At 38.7% G+C, this 16620-nt stretch overlaps 2 protein-coding genes across 5 annotated transcripts in view; both read right to left on the bottom strand.

Annotated features, from left to right (window-relative positions):
- The window catches only part of LRRC8B (leucine rich repeat containing 8 VRAC subunit B), a 73033-nt gene that overhangs the window by 5427 nt on the left and 50986 nt on the right, over nt 1–16620 (bottom strand). For all 4 annotated transcript variants that reach the window (NM_015350.4, NM_001134476.2, NM_001369819.2 and 1 more), the window contains 2 exons: nt 12747–12844; nt 7646–9810 (listed from right to left, as the gene is read on the bottom strand). In NM_015350.4, coding sequence (NP_056165.1) covers nt 7646–9784 — 2139 coding nt within the window. In that variant the 5' untranslated portion in view covers nt 9785–9810; nt 12747–12844. The remainder of the gene's footprint in view (nt 1–7645; nt 9811–12746; nt 12845–16620) is intronic.
- On the bottom strand, nt 12781–12843 carry LOC128092251 (uncharacterized). The gene has a single exon (NM_001414942.1). The coding sequence runs from the start codon at nt 12841–12843 to the stop codon at nt 12781–12783; it is 63 nt and encodes a 20-aa protein (NP_001401871.1).

The raw sequence follows: 16620 nt of genomic DNA, 5'->3' as shown, positions 1-16620 counted from the left end.
AAAATCATAATTACTCTTGAGTCCTTGATCAGAAATAAATTACCCTCAAGAGTCTTCATAAAAAGTTTACTGTGTAATGTAATGAATAATACCCTTAAAAACATCCTAAGAATCTGACAGCAGACTGAAAACCTTATTCTCTTTTTTAAAAAAGCCTACAGAAGCAGAGCAAAAAAATATGATTATATATACATGCACATTTCATTCCCCTCTACATACACATACACCTGAATATTTACTCTTGTTCCTTCCCTCTGGCATGGTTTCAACTAAATAATTTATAACACAGATACTTTTAAATATAATAAATATTATGCAAATTAGGTCAACTCCTAAAGCTGCTCCCGTTGACTGCTGCCCTATATGGTAGATAGGTTGCATGTCAATTTCTAAGGGCGCCACAGTACATAGAAGAAATAGGGTTTATTGAGGAAAGACCTCCAGAGAAGAAGTTGAGCACATACACAATCCCTTCAACTCATCACTTCACTGAGGGATAAGTCTGGCCTCAGCATAGATAGACTGCACATACCACCGCTCCCTACCCCCCATAATACTCTACATATTGGCTGGGGACAGGGGCCACCTACAAAAACTATGAAATAATGTAGGTTCCTTGGTTCCAAAACTGGCTTTGTTAGAAACAGGGATAAAAAGGGCACTCAGGGACTTGGCCTATATCCTCTGACGGGCTAATGCAGACCGGCTGGGAGACAAGTTTCTAGGGCCATCCAGAACTGTCTCTCCTCAAAAGGATAAATAGCTTTTATATAAACTAAAAAATGACCAAATTCCATTAAAAATGTTAATGATGTTGTAAACTCCATTCTCCTACATCACCCCTCCCTCTAACACACGTTCAGTGCTGTATATCCTTAAAAATAAATCTAATGATTGTCACTGCTAAGAACAACATTCCATATAGATCATCATTGTACACCAAAATATTAGATATAAACAAAGGGAAAAATATCTACCCTTTACTTTCATTTCCTTCCCAAGAGCAGATGCAAACCCTACATATGCAGACTTACATTGGGAGATGAGGCAGAGAGATGAGAAGAAATGCAACCTCTTTCTAAGGCAACCCCTTCTGCACAGAGATACCTGCAGCTCAGAAGTAGGATCAGTGATGTCCAAGTGAAGGAAAAAATCAGTCCTTTGCAGTGTGCATTATTAAGAGTGCTTGTTGGTGCCTATGAAATGACTCAGGCAAACTGGCTAAAAAAGAAATTAGGCTTGGCTCATTTATATTCAGTGAGCACGTGCTGAGTGCCTTCTAATGTGCCAGGCTCCCAGCTAGCTGCTGGGATCAAGTACTGAGTTAGAAAGACTGCCTTTGAAAACTTTAGCCTAATGCAGGTCACCATGGACATCTCAGCCTCAGCACTGTTGACATTGTGGGTGGAAAAATTCTTGCTGTGGGGCTGTCCTGTGCAGTGTAGGATGTTTAGCAGCATCCTCAGCCTCTACCCACCAGTTACCAGTGCCACTCCCCTTCCCAGTTGTGACAACCAAAAATGTTTCCAGACAAATGTCTCTTGGGAGGCAAAATCATTCCCAGTTGAGAAGCACAAGTCTCACGGAAGAGAGAAACATGAAACGATTACACAATTGTCTGTAATGAGTGGTATGAAGAAAAGTGCCCTAACCTGAGCTGCATTAGGCATTCCGTATTTCCCTTCTTCAGTCAGCTTCAGATTCCCAGCAAGTACCTCGTTTAACTGGACTGATTTCCTACTGGGTGATTACCCTGAAGCCACTGCCCTCACTCTCTTGTCTGGCTATCAGCACTACCACATTCCCACCAGTCTCCTTCCAAATCTCTACATCTGTGATTTTAGTGAACTTCTTAGGCTCCACTAGAAGAGAGGGATTTCCCAAGGTAGTGGGAGTGGGCCTCAGGGCCAGCCCCTTAGCATTGCTGCTGTGAAAGTGAGTCAAGGGCTGCGCTGGCTATGTGCGAGAGTCCATCTCTGGGGCTTTCTCTCCAGCTCTCTGCCCAGCTAAGGCACAGGATCTTACCTCACCTACTCTCATTCAATTTTTCTAAAGGAGCCTGGGGAGTTTTGTTAAAGACTCAAGACTTTCCTTCAATTCAGCAATTTTATCCTGAAAAATCTACTTACAGCTTTAAAAATAGTTTGCCTTGAAGCTTACAAGAACTCCAATTTTGCCTGGGTCAACAAATTCTATAAAAAATGTTAGAAAACAATTATTTAAAACTAATTTATTTAGCATGCCCTTTCTTAGACTGTATGACACATGAGCCAGAGAGCCAAAAATTACCTTAGTGGATCACTGATTTCTTCTAAAAAAACCAATGGGAAAGCTTACAGACTACTATGGGGATGACATACTTCAACAATAAAATAGTTTTATGGAATAAACTACAACATATAATACACACATACATAAGCTATATGATAAACTACAAAATAGATGACAACAACAAAAACTAATGGCTATATTATCTCTCTACATCCTAGAATTCTCTGACAACCAAATGTCTTCAGCAAAATGAATTGAAGTCCCCGAGAACAGGATGGTTTTCTTTTACATCTATGGCTGACATTGTTAATTAAATACCCCTGGCTTTTTCCCAGAGGCTGAGATCTTACTTTAGAATCCTTCTCAATACCAGATTTCCTTTTTTTTTTTTTTTTCTGGCCACTGACACATGCCATCTCAGGAAATGCTTACCAAACCCTAAAGTCCAATCATTTCAAGAAACACAGCTGAATATTTCTGTTTCTAAGTAGTGATGCCAAAAATAACAAAACCCAGTGTCACATAGATGATCTTCAGAAGGAATTTCTACATTATTCACCTTCTGGCTAGAAGTCTTCAAACTAATATAAGAAAAAAAAAAAAAAGCACAAATGTGGAAGTAAGAAGACCTAGGTGTAAATTGGACTGGTCTAAGATTTCAGCAAACCTAGCTCAATCCTTTCCCATGCCTTGTGCTTCTCTCCATTACAATCAATGCCACCATAATCCAATTACTCTTTGGCACTGTGATAGGGATGGATCTTGCCTCCATTTCTCCCACCTTCCATGTCCACCCACATATACCACTGTACCCCATGTGGAATCACTTGGATTGATGCATAGGAGACACAGTAGAAGAATAGTAGAGTAGAAATCAGAATGTTTGGGTTCCATCCTAGCCCCCTTGCCAGGAAACTTCAGACCTCAGGTGAATTGCTCTGAGCCTCAGTAAAATAAGGGCAGTGGACTAGAGTAGGGGCTGGTAAAGTTTTTCTCCAAAGGACCAGAAGAATAAGTATTTTAGGCTTTCTGGGCCAAGAGGCAAAAGTGAAAATATTATGTAGGTCCTTATATAATAGAAAAAATATTCCATATATTTTTAAGTAATGAAATTCAAAATATAACAATTGAATATAATTTTGTTGTAATACAGGCCCACTAATAAAAATGATGGAATCTATTTGTAGAAATTGAAATTTGAGTTTCATATAATTTTTACGGGTCACAAAACATTCTTTTGATCTTCTTCCCCCAACCATCTAAAAATGTAAAATCCTTTCCTAGCCTAGGCTGTATAAAAACAGGCAGTGGGTAGACTTGACCCCCAGGCTGCAGTCTGCGGACTCAGTGTTCCTTTCAGGTATGAGAGTCTTTGTCTCTTGTTTTAAATCTATACTCCTACCTCTAAATCATAACTGATTCAACCTTTCCATGGGGTTTTGTTTCTTGGCTGTCCTCTCCTAAGCCTTTTATATGCTACAATCAGAGCCTCCTTTGAAGGTACCAGTTCAGGCTAACTAGCACTTTCAAGCTCAAGTCTCACCCTAGTCACTATCCAATGAATCAAACATGAATTTGACTGGCAGACTTCCAGGCACTCTCCATTCTGACCCACCTTACTAAATGGTCTCATCTCTTATTATATTTGGTTATGTTTTTTTCAGTCCTCTGTGGATGACCTCTATTTTTTAACGCTTCCCTAATCCAGTGTTCTTAGGGTATGCTTCACAGAACACAAGAGTCACTCTATAAAAAAAGGTGTCTTGCTCAAACACATTTGATGAATATTGCATACCATCTCTCCTTGGAGAAGCACAATGCATATTCATATGTTAAAGGCTCTGAAGAATCCTGCAGCAAAAATATGATCAAAAGAAACATTTAATGTTTTTTGTGGTGACACCTATTACCGTCCTATGGAAGACACCCTGAAGTGCCTGCTCAGTGAATATCCGCCACCCAGGGACTGCCCAGCACGTTCCCATGTCGAGGGAATTCCCTACCTTATGAGTCTTGGTGGGTAGTAGAGCTCACTTTCTACTAGAGAAACTACTGACACCAGATTCTTGTGTTCTCAGCTCTCCTATAGCCACAATGTGGGCATTCATTAGCTATGCCAATCAGTTGCTCAGACTCGGACTTTGAACCGGGGCTAACATTACAAAGAAGTGGAAGCCATGAAGAATCTATTCTGTGGGAGGCCTAGGGTCACAACAGCAGCAACATCAAGTTTTCAAGAACAGAAGCAGTGCTCTGAGCTGGTAAGGTCCTCGTCAGTGTATCCTCACCATTGTGCTTTTCCGCTATGATTCTGGCTACAGTCCTCACTGCTGCCTGACTTACTTTGTGCCTGATTGTTTTCCAAGCTTGGTTTTGCAATCTTTTCAGTGGTAATATGAGATACCTAATATCCTTTCAACTAATGTCTTTTCTGCTTAAGAGGTAGTATTTGTTGACTCCATCTATAAACCTGATACGCTGCCCAAGTCTTGAGATCAGACTTTTAAAATGCCTCTTATAGGAATCTTTATTAACTGCCGTTCCACATGGATTAATTGGCTTGAATTTCTTTGTATATGCATGTCTAACTATGTATGCAGCCAATGTGGTATTTTCTTATTTTCCTTTTTTGAGATGGAGTCTTGCTCTGTCGCTCAGGCTAGAGTGCAGTGGCAAGATCTTGGCTCACTGCACCTCTGTCTCCCGGGTTCAAGCAATTCTTCTGCCTCAGCTTCCTAAGTAGCTGGGACTACAGGCGCGTGCCACCATGCCCGGCTAATTTTTTTATTATTAGTAGAGATGGGGTTTCACCATATTGGCCAGGCTGGTCTCAAACTCCTGACTTCGTGATTCAATATTTTGATCTAACTCAGAATCATGAGACTCTGAAGGTTGTAAATAATCTTAAAATTAGTTAAATCCCCACATGAAACATGAATTCCTGATGCCCTTTAACAGCCTTCCTACTGAGTATCTGGCAGTCCCTGTCTGGAGAGCTTTATTAATAAGAAAATGACTTTTCCCTCCTCAAGTGCTCATTCAATCTTTGAATGCTATATGGGAAAGATGAGAAATCTTCCCCTGATGGTCCTAGTTTTCTCCGCTTGCCCTAAGTTCTAACACTGTAGCTATTCCCAGCAAGTTTTGTTCTCCATGTAAATTTTTCAAATATCTGAAGACCAATATTGTAGACAATTCTCCCGTGCCACCTATAGTTCCCATCATGAGGCTAAAGTATTCCATCAGAGTTGTCATCTTCCTGGTGGCTGTCCTCTGATGAGTTTTAGTTTATTTATATTGTTGTTACATAGTCTCTGAACAGTGCTTCTTTGACCCTAAGTTCACCAATTCAAAGATGTCATGTTCATCATTTTGGCTCCAAAGATGATCAGCAACTACTTTTTCTCAGATTTCTGGGACAACCCACTCAAAAAGATACCATTCTATTTTGGTTATAAAGTATTTTCAGCGTAAGACTTTTCCTGTGCTACAAAGTATTCTTTCTTATTCAAGAAAGCATGTGCCTGATATTCACACTTATTATTTCAGATATGGTCCAGGATTCCATAAACTTGGTGTCAAAAGTACTAATGGTCTCAAGGTTTCTTCATTACATTAACTTGGTGGAAACATTCACCTGCTCATACATTTAAATAATGCATGGCCAGCTAACAATTGAATAAGCTCCGACTTTCAAAAATCCATTTTTGAAAGTGATTTAACTGTGTATAACTGCTTAGTGGAACCAATGCCTTTAAAAGTAATTATTGATATTTTTATTATAAATTTAACAATGGAAAAAATGTGATCAAAATATTAATATTAATCACCTGCATAATTAAATGGCACTGATACACTTCTAGACTTGTGATTTTTCAGAGTGCAGTCACTAGGCCAGCATCATCAGCTCCACCTGGGGACTTCTTAGAAATGCAAACTCTTGGGTCCTACGTCTGGCCTACTGAATCGGAAACCCTGGGAGCGGGGCTCAGCCATCTGTGTTTCAGCAAGCCTTTTGGGTAATTCTGATGCACACTGTTAGTCTAGGTCAATCCTAATGTAGTTTTAAAATCTCATAAACCTTTAAGATCTGAAGATGTCTCATTTATCTAACAATGGACTCTCTCCTTTTACATATGAATAAAGTCTGAGAGTTCTAAAAATCAGCATGAATTTTGCTCTCATCCCCCAATTTTCTGGTATTTATCTAACACCCATGTTTTTCAAAAATAATGTATGATTAATATGTTTATTAGCCAACACCATGCTCATAGCTATATTTACCATGACATATGAACTACAAAAAGTCTAAAAGATAATACATTTTCTTTCTTTCTTTCTTTCTTTTTTTTTTGAGACAGAGTCTCGCTCTGTTACCAGGCTTGAGTGCTTGAGTGGTGGAATCTCGGCTCACTGCAACTCCACCTCCCGGGTTCAAGCGATTCTCCTGCCTCAGGCTCCTGAGTAGCTGGGACTTCAGGTCCGTGCCACCACGCGCAGCTAATTTTTGGATAATATATTTTGAAGTGTGGTGGAATAGCTGTACCCATTTTCAAGTAGAGGAATGTCAGTTTCATCCCTTGGTAGATTTGATTTCTGACCAGGTTTTCCCTCTTTCTTCCCAAATGGACATTAGCCTCACTCTCTTGCCTTTAGACTACAGTGAATTTTTCCTTTTTCCTCCTCCTCCATATCTTAACCTAGGAAACTACTCATTTATTTTGTTTTTTCATGGTTTGGTAAAGTTAAGTTTTCTTTAATTTGGTTTTACTATTGCAAATTTGGTTCATTCTAAAGCATGGATCCTGGAAAAAGCTTCTAAGAAGCTGTAGTGTTGCATTATAGAGGCAGGCCTTTCATTTTGAATCATCTTTCTAGACATGCATGCAGATTTCAAATCTTTTTCACCACATCACAAAAAGGATTTATGAATAATTCATAATCCCAGCATTTTAGAACAAGAAGTTATTTTATTATGACAGATTTGGAAAGCTGAAAAGTTTTGCCAAACTCCCTAAATACCTAAAACCTTTATAAAACAAAAAGTAAGCTCTACCATAATGAATTAAATAGTTTAAAATACTTTGTGATGTTTATGTAGAAAACTGGGAAAAAAACAAAGAGAAAAACATTTGCTGAGCAACTATTATGTGCCAGGAACTGTGCCAAATGCTTTTATGTTTTTTCATAAAATCTCCACGATGACTTGTAATTTAGGTTAAAAATGGATGCTCAGTGTTTTGGTAATTTATGCAAGATCGGATTGGGCTTGGCTTGAGAACACACAGTATGATTTGAAGTGTGTTTTCTTTCCCTATGTAATGCACTATAAGTACGGCAGATACTGAATAAAAGAAAGAATGGATTTACTTACATTGTTGTTGGTCACAGCAAAGTACTGCAAATTACTCAGATACTGGATTTCTTCTGGAATGAAGGTCAAGTGGTTATAGCTTAGATCCAAATAATGTAGTTTAGTGCATAGGAAAAGCTGCAAGGGCAGATTCTCAATATTATTATGGTCCAAAGAGAGCTGCTCTAGGTTAGATAATGCCCCAATCTGTGCAGGAATATAAGCAATGTTATTGTGCCACAACTTTAAGCAGGAAAGATTCTGAAGATGCTGAAAGCTAATGATCTCTTCCACAGTTTTAAGGTTATTTTCCCTTAGGTCTAACTCATGCAAATTATTCAGGCTGAAAATGGAATGTGGGATGCGTTCCAGGTCACAGCTGATCAGTTCTAGGCTTTTCAGATTGACCATCTTTTTCAAGTTGTTCAACACAACCAGTTTGCTTCCCTCATTATCAAGGGACAGTTTCTGCAATGAAGGCAGGAGGTCTGTAACAACTTGTGGGATCCGGGAGAGGCTGCTCTTCAAGTACAGGGTCCTTAGATTTTTTAAGTCCTGAAAGCCCTCCAACTGCATAGTACTCAACTGTTCAGGGAGAACACAGCCCGAAAGATAAAGTTCCTTGAGATTCTTGAGGTGAAATACCCAGCGTGGGATTTTTCCCATTTCAGTAAATTTCAGGCGGAGGATTTTTAAATTCTCCTCTAGAAAGGCCAGTGCAGGATGGTCTACGACCAGAGATGAATGGTACACACGAAGCTCCTTGAGGTTGACCAGCTGTGAGACTGCAGAGGGCAGCTTCACCTCTGGGATAAGCTCCAGGCTTAGCACTTCCATTTCAGTTAACTCAAAGACATTGTCTGGAAGACCGTTGAGCATAAAAAGATGCAGTTCTATCTTGTCCTGGGCATTTTTCACAAGCTTACTTTTCAGTTTCTCAACTGTCCATTCATTATTGAGGTTGATCTGTTTCAGTTTGTTCTCACTGACCTCTGATAGGAATATGGAGAAGCGTTTGGAATAAAGAGGATCATACTGATCAGCCAGATGAAGGATGAAGGCAAAGTCATTCTTGACATCAGGGATGTCACTGTAGTTGCTTTTTTCTCTTAACGCCTCAAAGGAATATTGCTTCAGGGAACTCCTCAGCATCCACCACAGGCTGTAGGAAGAGGTCAGACCATAAAGTATAACCAAAATGACATAAAATGAAGCCAGGACCTTAAAGATTTCTGCCAAGGAATAGACACACTGGTAGCGCTTATATCCTGTAAAAGCCTGCACATCAACTGAACAGTCGATTTCAAGAGTGATGTGGGTTAAAAAATATGGAACATAAGTTATGATGAGCACAAACAAAATGACTTTGACTATTATCTGTTTCAGATATACTCTATAAATGATGTCCTTCTGCTCCACATGCATGCGGAATCTTTTCACTTTTTCAAAGATGGCTTTGGCCTGTTCACCCTCCTTCTTGTCCAGGACACTGGAAGTTGGGCTTTCTATGCCAGCTGACTCCAAACCTGGCTGTGGGTAGGGCAATGACTGTTTGCCGGAATCTATGTCAGCTGAACACCCTGAGGACGAAAGCAAAATCTTGGACTTGGAGAGTTTCAGAGGCCTCACTGACTGCTCAGCCACTGTTTCTGAAAGGGCGCGGGTGGTCCATGGAGAATCGAAGCACTTGTGAAGGATGGCCACAAAATGCTCGAGCCTGGAACTGGTACTGGGGTAGTGAAGCCAAAAGTTGCTGCAGGCTGCAAAGATGAGCGTGTGCAAGAGCACCAGATAGGGGAAAAACTTTGCAAACCAATGGAGCTGTTTCTCGTAACAGACGGCATCAATATAGGAGTACTGCTGTCGGTGGAGGTCATTCTGAATTCGGAGGGGGAGCGGAAGCGGTGTCCCAGGATTAGAGGATGTGTTCATGCTGGCTTTCAGGATGTCCCAAGGCACGGCACAGTGATTGTCAAATTCCACTTTGCATGGAAGACAGCACAGAACCCTGCTCTGCGTCAGCTGGAGAGCTCCGGCCAGCACGGCCACCAGCAGCATGATCAGTGTGATGTAATACCAGAAGACGTCCCACCATGGTTTTAAGATGTGATAAGATGACTGGGCATCTGCTAAGCATTTTAGCTCAGTTAGTGTAATCATGACTTTCCCTTGTAGGAGGACAGAAACTGGAAGAGGGAAATAAAAGAAACACTACTGAAGCAAGTACTCAAATAAGCATTTTACTCTAATATTCATACACACATGCCCTCCTTCCCAAGTAGGATTTAGCTCTGGGGTAAAACCTAAAAGGAAGAGCTGATTAAGGGGCACATAAGTCTTCTGGTTTCATTTGAAACTATAGGCCATCCAACTCTGAACCATAGTCTCTTAGATGGGGGACCATTTAGTGATACTGACTAGAAAGAAATTTAGGGGTAGCCCTTGAGGTAATTATCTCGTTACCTCTTGTATCTCAACTCCAGGCTAGGCTACTAAAAACCAGGAGCCAATTTTTCTTCAACTGACATTTGAAAAACTTGTTCCTATGCTACTAATATTTTTTTCTTTCTTTCTTTCTTTTTTTCTTCCTTTTTTTTTTGAGACAGGGTCTCACAGGCCTCAGACTCTTGGCCTCAAGTGATCCTCCCTGCTTGGCCTCTGAAAGTGCTGGAATTACAGCTATGAGTCACCACAGCCAGCCACCTAATTTCCAGTGGTCACATTTTACCTTCCAAAATGTCTGAGTAAGCTCCTTTCCACACCTTGTCCCATGTCTGAAGCATCACTTACAGCCCAAGAGTTGTTTTAGTCACCACAAGGAGCCTCTTTTAAGCAAGCTCTGCTTTGTGAAATTACCCCTTAGGCTTAGTGGGGTCTACAATTCTATGCCCAGAACAACCTGTCACTGAATGCATTATCTCCTTTCCACACAAGCTTTCGCTTTGTAATTTAAGTACATGAGTATGAAAAAACTTAGAGTATTTAAAAGTTGGGAAGTATTTAAAAGTTATGGCTTAAAAAAGAATAAGAAAGAAAAGCTCTGCTAGAATATTCTATCATGGGGACTCCCTCTCATGTTTAATGTTGTGATGGCAAAGTACTAAAAGGATAAACGATGGAGGCATATTCCATTATTAAATTACTTTTGCCTTCAGGAAAACAAGATTATCTTGTATTTTCATACTGAAAAGTATTCAGACAACATTCCTGAGAATTTCTATGTTGAGTCTTACATACATCAATTGTTTCAAAAATTGCTAATCAGTAAAATCCAGATGATCTATAAGATGGCACAGAGTAAAGTAAAAGGAAATATGTGGGTCTTAGAAAATATCTGATAAGAAAAAGAAGAAAAATAATAATGGTAGCATGGTGCCCCCTTGCTGGTAGTCCAGCTCTAATCTATTTTCAAGGGTTTCTCTTGGATTTTCTTGAGTCTGAAGTCTTATCATTTATTCTGGGCCAGAGTTACTCTCTAGACACTCTAGTATTAGTAGCATCCCCAAGGAAGCCTTTTTTTTTTTTTTTTTTTTTTTTGAGACGGAGTCTAGTGGCGTGATCTCAGCTCACTGAAACCTCCACCTCCTGGGTCCAAACAATCCTCCCGCCTCAGCCTCCCGAGCAGCTGGGACTACAGGCACATGGCATCACGCCCAGCTAATTTTTGTGTCTTTTTAGTAGAGACAGGAGATGGGGTTTCACCATGTTGGCCAGGCTGGTCTCGAACTCCTGACCTCATGATCTGCCCACCTTGGCCTCTCAAAGAGCTGAGATTATAGGCCTGAGCCACTGTGCCTGGCCAGGAAGACTTTTTTACTCTCATTTGCCCTCTTTCTGGGGTCTGGTATCCTGCCTTGAACCTTAGAGTCCCATTACAGAGTCCCTGCTCCCTGTTAATAAGTCTCATCCTCAGCATATTCCTGACCATCTGACCCTGAACCCTACAGCTTCATGCTCTTGTACCTGTTAAGGCATTTTACAATTTCTGAGCTTAACTGCTGGACTGGAGCACTACTTTCTGCTTGTGTCCTCTCTGGGTATCACATAATATTATATGGATTCACCTTCCTCCTAGGACCTACAGGTGGATTATATAGCTCTTCAGGGCTTCTCTCCTTCACTCCAGTTTAGTGGATCTATTTCTAACTCTCAACTCTTCTCATTCTGCCTCACCTCTCTGCCTTACATAATTGTGTGTCGAGGTAAGACAGAAACTAAAATGAGAGGAATACATGAAGCAAAGAGAAAGTCCTGGGCTTAGACCTCAAAATACTATAAATATGATGTGGCCAGGGGTGTGAGGGATGGTAGAAAACACTGCTGGATGAAAGAAAGAACATGTGAAAAACAGTTTAGGATTTTAGTTGACATGTATGCATACTTTCAGCTAGTCATGAGACAGCTGTTACGCTGAAATACTGATTATAACATCTGGCCATATTAATAGGTAAACCCAGATAAAGGAGCTGCAGTCCTTCTGTACCTGCCTCGTGAGATCACAATACTGAAACCCAATGCTCAGTTACAGGTTAAAGATAAAATGGGCAAAAAACCAACCAGGAGCTGTTGTTTCTAAACCGTTTCCTACAGAGGAACACGGGCAATCGATGATATTCAGCTGAAATAATAGATGACTAGGTGAGCCCGAGAATTTATCTTTACATTTTTGCGCAACAACCTCACAGGTGAAAGAATAGTGGATTTGTTCCCAAGGTAGAACCAGGTAGATGGAAGCTTTAGAAAATCACATTTTGATTCAATCTGTGGTGGAAAGTCATCGAACTAGCTGCTCTGTGAAACAGTTCAGCTCTATGTCCTGAGCAGAATCTTGATAAATAAAATGACCATCCATCAGGAGAGTTGCAAAGGAATTTCTTGTAATGGATAAAAAGAGTGAAGCAGATAATTTCAAAGGGTTCTTTCAGCTCTAAATTCATGTTTCATTTGTCCTCTCAAAGGTCCTGAGAATTAAATTCATTTAAGATATGCAACTGAAATTGTAGAAGAATGAAAACAACAATAGCTCTAACAATGATAAGGGTATTTGACAGAGTGAATATTTATTCAATAAAAATACAAGTCAACATTGACCAAAAAAAGTGTTTTAAATATTTATACTTACTACAGTGAAAAAAATTAAATAAATCCAATATGCTTCAGTCAGGAGGTCTACACCTTTTGAAGTTTCTTAGACACACCATCTCTGTGTTTGTCTTCATTCTATGAGAAAACATAGATATCTTGAAATAGCTACAGTCATTCAAACAAACAAACTGGAGATACTGTCTCCAGAAGCCCTCTCAGTCATAAGACATGACATGGCAAATAGATTTTCACACTCTGGGCCTCAAGCAATCCTTCCACCTTGGCCTCTCAAATGCTGGGATTACAGGTGTGAGCCACTGTGCCTGGCTTAGATTTTCATAGGTCAGTTTACTTTTCACACTGGGGCACATTCTGGCAAAGGTGTATCTACAGGGCCCCACTCACATTCATTAAACCATACTCACTCCCTGAACTTCCTTTCAATTACAGGTTAGTTCCCACAGCAATTTAAACACAACATATTTTAAAATTCTGTGTCTACAACACTTAGATGAACACAGCTTTTCTAAGTAGTCGACATATGTTAATTTCTCTCACTCATTCCTCAAACACAGTCGTTCTTATTTGCATTTTTCAGACAGCTTGTCACACCAAGTGATTTCTGTACCCATATTTAAAACCAAACATCTATCCAAATAAGTCTCAGTGCTCCTAAAATTTAGCCTACCAATCTCATTAGAAAAAGTGATAAGTTAATATACTTTTTCAGATACAGCTCAGAAATATGGCTGAAATTACTTGAAATTATGTTATTATTAAACATACTTAGGCTTTATATTAGATTTGTTTAATTTAGAGTTTAATAAAAGCCATTTGTAACATTTATAGTTCAATAATTTGTGATAGTTAAATTACATATATATTGATAATTTGAACTGTGAGAAAATTGTAAAATGCTAGAATTTGTTTTTAATTGAAAGTAAAAATTATATCTTTTAGTGCCTATGAAACCTCAAAAAAAAAGTTTCTAGGGAGATTTTGTATTATACAATCCTTTTTAAAAAGTACTTCAAATCTTCCTAAGAGTACTGACCCCAAATTGTATTTAAGATACTTTTAGCAATAATCTTTTAAGCTTGTCATTTCAAATATCAAAAATTTGGGCATGTCCAAAACTTACTTTGGGTTTACCAAGTCATGTGCAAAGCCTATTTTACAATTAGTCACCATCCAGCATCAAATTGTTTTGCAGGTTAGAAAGCACAGTTAGTATGTATAAGAACCTAGCTGTACACTAATTCATAACTACAGGGCACAACTGGAGTAAGATTTCTCATTCACAATTCACAAGCCTTTATAAAAGTCTTACAACATATATCACATGACTGCATTTATGTGCACTGAGCATGATAAAGACATCTGATGTGTGAAACATTTTACATATTCTTCCATAGCGGCTGCATTTGTAACATGCCAGAAAAGAATTTATTGCATAATTCAAAAATGTTACTCAGCCATGATTCTTCTTATACAGTTCTCCTTAAATATTAGAAATATACTTTCTACTTTATTAATAATTTAACATCTGTTTTTCTACCTTCAAAGCATGTCTCATTTACATTAATTTGTTTTATACTTAAAACAAGCCATTGAAATAAATAGTATTACTCTTTATGTTTATATGCATAGAAATTAAGGCAGTCCCAAAGAATTAACCTTGCCCAAGGTGACAAAACCTCTAAGAAATAAAGTTGCAACTGGAACTTAGGTCCTCATACTCAAATCCCAACCTCATGCACACCAGACCACATGGCCTCAGTCAATCCAATTAACTACGCCACAGTCTTAGGTCTCTCAAAAGCTGAAGAAAAAGCTAATTAGCGCTCTTTCCCAACTCATCCAATATCTGCATTATAACTGGGTTATAACTGCATTATAACTGGGTTTGAATAAGGATGCAAATGTAGTTTTCTGTAATGTCTTCCGTTACATATAATCTACTTTCTCAGCTAAACATTTTCCTACTAAATATTTTCTACTGAACTAAAACTTAATATTTAAATATATAGCATCTGGATTTAAGTATATATAAAACATCTCAGCATTCCTATGTATAAAATGATGATAATTTTCCTATTTGAAGTGCTTAACTAGAGAGTTTAAGCATAGCTATCTTTTGTCATTATGCCATTTAATACTGTCTGTCCAGGAAATTGTTTCCAGACCATATTTTAGTAAACAATGATGATTCAATCCAAATAAAATATCTATTTCTAATATACAAACACACTAAATCAATCCAAAGAAATGTTAAGAGTAATGGATTTTACGGTTCTAATCCCATTATTTCAGCTTTTAAACCTCATTAAGAAGTCATAAAAGCTTTTTCAAAACACATGAATTCACTTGACAATCTTACTCCAAAGTCTCTAAGACTGTAACATCAACATTCAAGTTAGGCATCTTTACTTCCCAGTAGTCCTTATTTTACTTTGAAAGCATTTCTAAAATAACAAGTGAAAAAATAAACAAATGATGATCAGATGGTATTTAGTGTCATTATATACTGAGAAGAGGACGCTACTTCAAAGATCTGTCTCTGACCCCAGGCAGGGATTATAGCCGAACAATTCCAAATAGCGGTTCTCTACACTACTCTCATTGAAAATTGATTTAAAAATCACCTTATATCCCTTCAAAATGTTTAGTGCTACTTCCCATTAAGATGTTTCTTGGGACTAACATATATCTAACTGAAATTTAAATTCGCCTTTTGTTGAGTTCTCTCTCTAGGAAACAATGCATCAGTATCTCTGATTAATATGCCCCTTTTCTTTATGCTAAGTAACTCATTTCACCATTCTTGAGAGATTTAATGACAAGCATTAAACATATTTCAAGTGCTTAAATGATCACCGGCAATAACATTTGATATACTAGTTTCCTTATGTCCCTTTGTAGTTCTTTCAAATCTTGTTAGTACAGTGATTTTCAAATAACAAACATGCTTCCCAAACTCAGTCGTAGTTTTGAGACCTAGAAAGAAAGATTTTTCTAATAGTGGTTCTCTAACATTAATGTACATAAAAATCACCAAGAGCTTATTAAAACATGAAGTGATTAGTCCATCCCTCAGAGTTGCCAATTTGTAAGGTAGGAAGTAGGTCTCAAGAATTGCATTGCTAACAAATTCCTAGTTCATGTTGATGCTGCTGGTCCAAGGACCACTTTTCAAGAATCACAAACCTAAGACAGTGATTCTCAATCTCAGCTTCACCTTAGAACCTCTTGGGGCACTTTTAAAAGAAACGTAAACCCAGGCCTTACTCCCAAAGAGCAAGTCAATTGGTCTAGGAGAGGCCAGATTTTTTTTTTCCCCCAAATCTCCCCAGGAGGAGAAAGCGTACAAGATAGACAATAAACTGTCTGAGAAAAGTGCCTGTCTTTTAAGTCTTCTTGGAAGTTGCACTAGACTTCTAGGATGCTCTCTCCCCTCTACAGACTACAAAGTAACAGCTACCATCTCCACATGAATCCTTTAGAGGCTCAGGAACGTGAAGCAGTAGAACAGTGAATCACTGAGCTATGGAGAGATGCAGGATGGATTATGGGAGAGGGATTAGAAACAAAGGGAGCAGCTGAAAGGCTATTTCAATAGTGCTGTCATCCAGCAAATGTTTTAAAGGTCTAGCATTTAAGAGAAGCAGTACGTTTTCTGTCCTACTGAGCACTGCATTTAGTAATTGAAAAGCAGTTTTCTTTTGTTTAATGTGTACTTTAAAACATGTCTTTGTCAGGCACGGGAATGGGAATACATTTTCTCTTAAACTCAATACTTTATAATAGAATAATAAGGCTAAAGTTTACAATATGTTTAAAAAGAAAGCAAAGAATAAAATAGTCAAGGGAAATTAAAATTCAGTACCACCTAGCAACATCAGATAAAGAGG

The sequence above is a fragment of the Homo sapiens genome, chromosome 1 (genome assembly GCF_000001405.40).
Source record: "Homo sapiens chromosome 1, GRCh38.p14 Primary Assembly".
Lineage (NCBI taxonomy): Eukaryota > Metazoa > Chordata > Mammalia > Primates > Hominidae > Homo > Homo sapiens.
This window is presented reverse-complemented; position numbering and strand designations above follow the sequence as displayed.